The sequence below is a fragment of the Homo sapiens genome, chromosome 1 (genome assembly GCF_000001405.40).
Source record: "Homo sapiens chromosome 1, GRCh38.p14 Primary Assembly".
Lineage (NCBI taxonomy): Eukaryota > Metazoa > Chordata > Mammalia > Primates > Hominidae > Homo > Homo sapiens.
The window spans coordinates 3,265,723-3,266,944 of record NC_000001.11 but is presented as its reverse complement, the minus strand read 5'-3'; the positions used below and the strand labels follow the sequence as shown (position 1 = coordinate 3,266,944).

At 57.7% G+C, this 1,222-nt stretch overlaps 1 protein-coding gene across 2 annotated transcripts in view; it reads right to left on the bottom strand.

Moving 5' to 3' along the window:
* PRDM16 (PR/SET domain 16) overlaps positions 1-1,222 on the bottom strand; it is a 369,419-nt gene that overhangs the window by 171,677 nt on the left and 196,520 nt on the right. The gene's annotated exons all lie outside the window — the stretch shown is intronic.

Sequence of the window (1,222 nt, the reverse complement as noted above, 5' to 3'; positions counted from 1 at the left end):
GCACTTTCGGAAGTCGAGGCGGATGGATCACCTGAGGTCAGGAGTTCGAGAGCAGCCTGGACAACACGGCAAAATCCGGTCTCTACTAAAAATACAAAAATATTAGCCGGGCGTGGGGGCGGTTGCCTGTAATCCCAGCTACTCAGGAGGCTGAGGCAAGAGAATTGTTTGACCCTGGGAGGCAGAGGTTGCAGTGAGCTGAGATTGCGCCGTTGCACTCCAGCCTGGGCAACAAGAGCAAGACTCCGTCTCAAACATAAATAAATAAATAAAAATAAAATGCATGCCCCACCGTGGTCTGCTGGAGCGTGGGAGCGGCGGAGGGTGCAGGCCCGTGCCTCCCGCCTGCGAGACAAGCGGGTCTGAGATCCAGGGAGTGGCTCCTGCCCCTGGGGCCCTCTCCTCGTCGGAGGAGCGGAGCAGCAATGCCTCCAACGCAGTTCACTGATTAAGAGCTTTGCAAATGCGAACCGCTCGGTCCTCCCCAGTCTCTCTGGGGCTCTCAGGGGGAGAGAATTAATTCGCGTCTACTGAGGTAAGTGCGAGGGGCTCTCGGGGCGAAAAGGCTCCGGCGCGCATTGTTCTCTGGTGGATTACGGGTGCTCGGCCGGCCTTGGGCCACCCCTGCCCGGCTCTCCTGGCGTCCGGCTGTGCCAGGCAGGCCCGCCCGATCCGTGGAAGTTTACGTCTCTTTAATAAAGATTAAGATGTCAGAGGGCCAGCGTTGCACAAAATCCCACTTTTATTAACTTCTCATTACCAGCTGAAGAGCGAAGCCCATTTCTGAACTTCTGAAGCAGCACATTTTCCCCAGGAAGAAAATAGTTATTAAATATGCATTTATGATGACTGCAGCTCACAGGGTTCTTGCTGACTAAGCGACCGGCCGCACACCGCCCTGGATGGACTCAAGACGACGGAGACTTAATGGAAAGAGGGGCCAGGTGGCGTCGCTAGGCTGGAGGGCGGCCCTTGAGTTGGGGGCTGGGCCTGGCCTCGCCCTCCTGGGCTTTATGAGACACGCACCAAGGAACCCTGGGGAGCAGTGCGGAGCCCTGGGGAGCACTGCACGACCGTAAAGGGATCATAGAGAGCGAAGGACCTGGGCACGACCCACTGAGGCAGGGTCTGGGGGCTCCTAGGGTCTGGGCGGTGAGGACAGAGCGTGAGGTGCCAGCTGGATAATGCCTGTCTGGCTGGGGCTAACTGTGACCTCCTGATT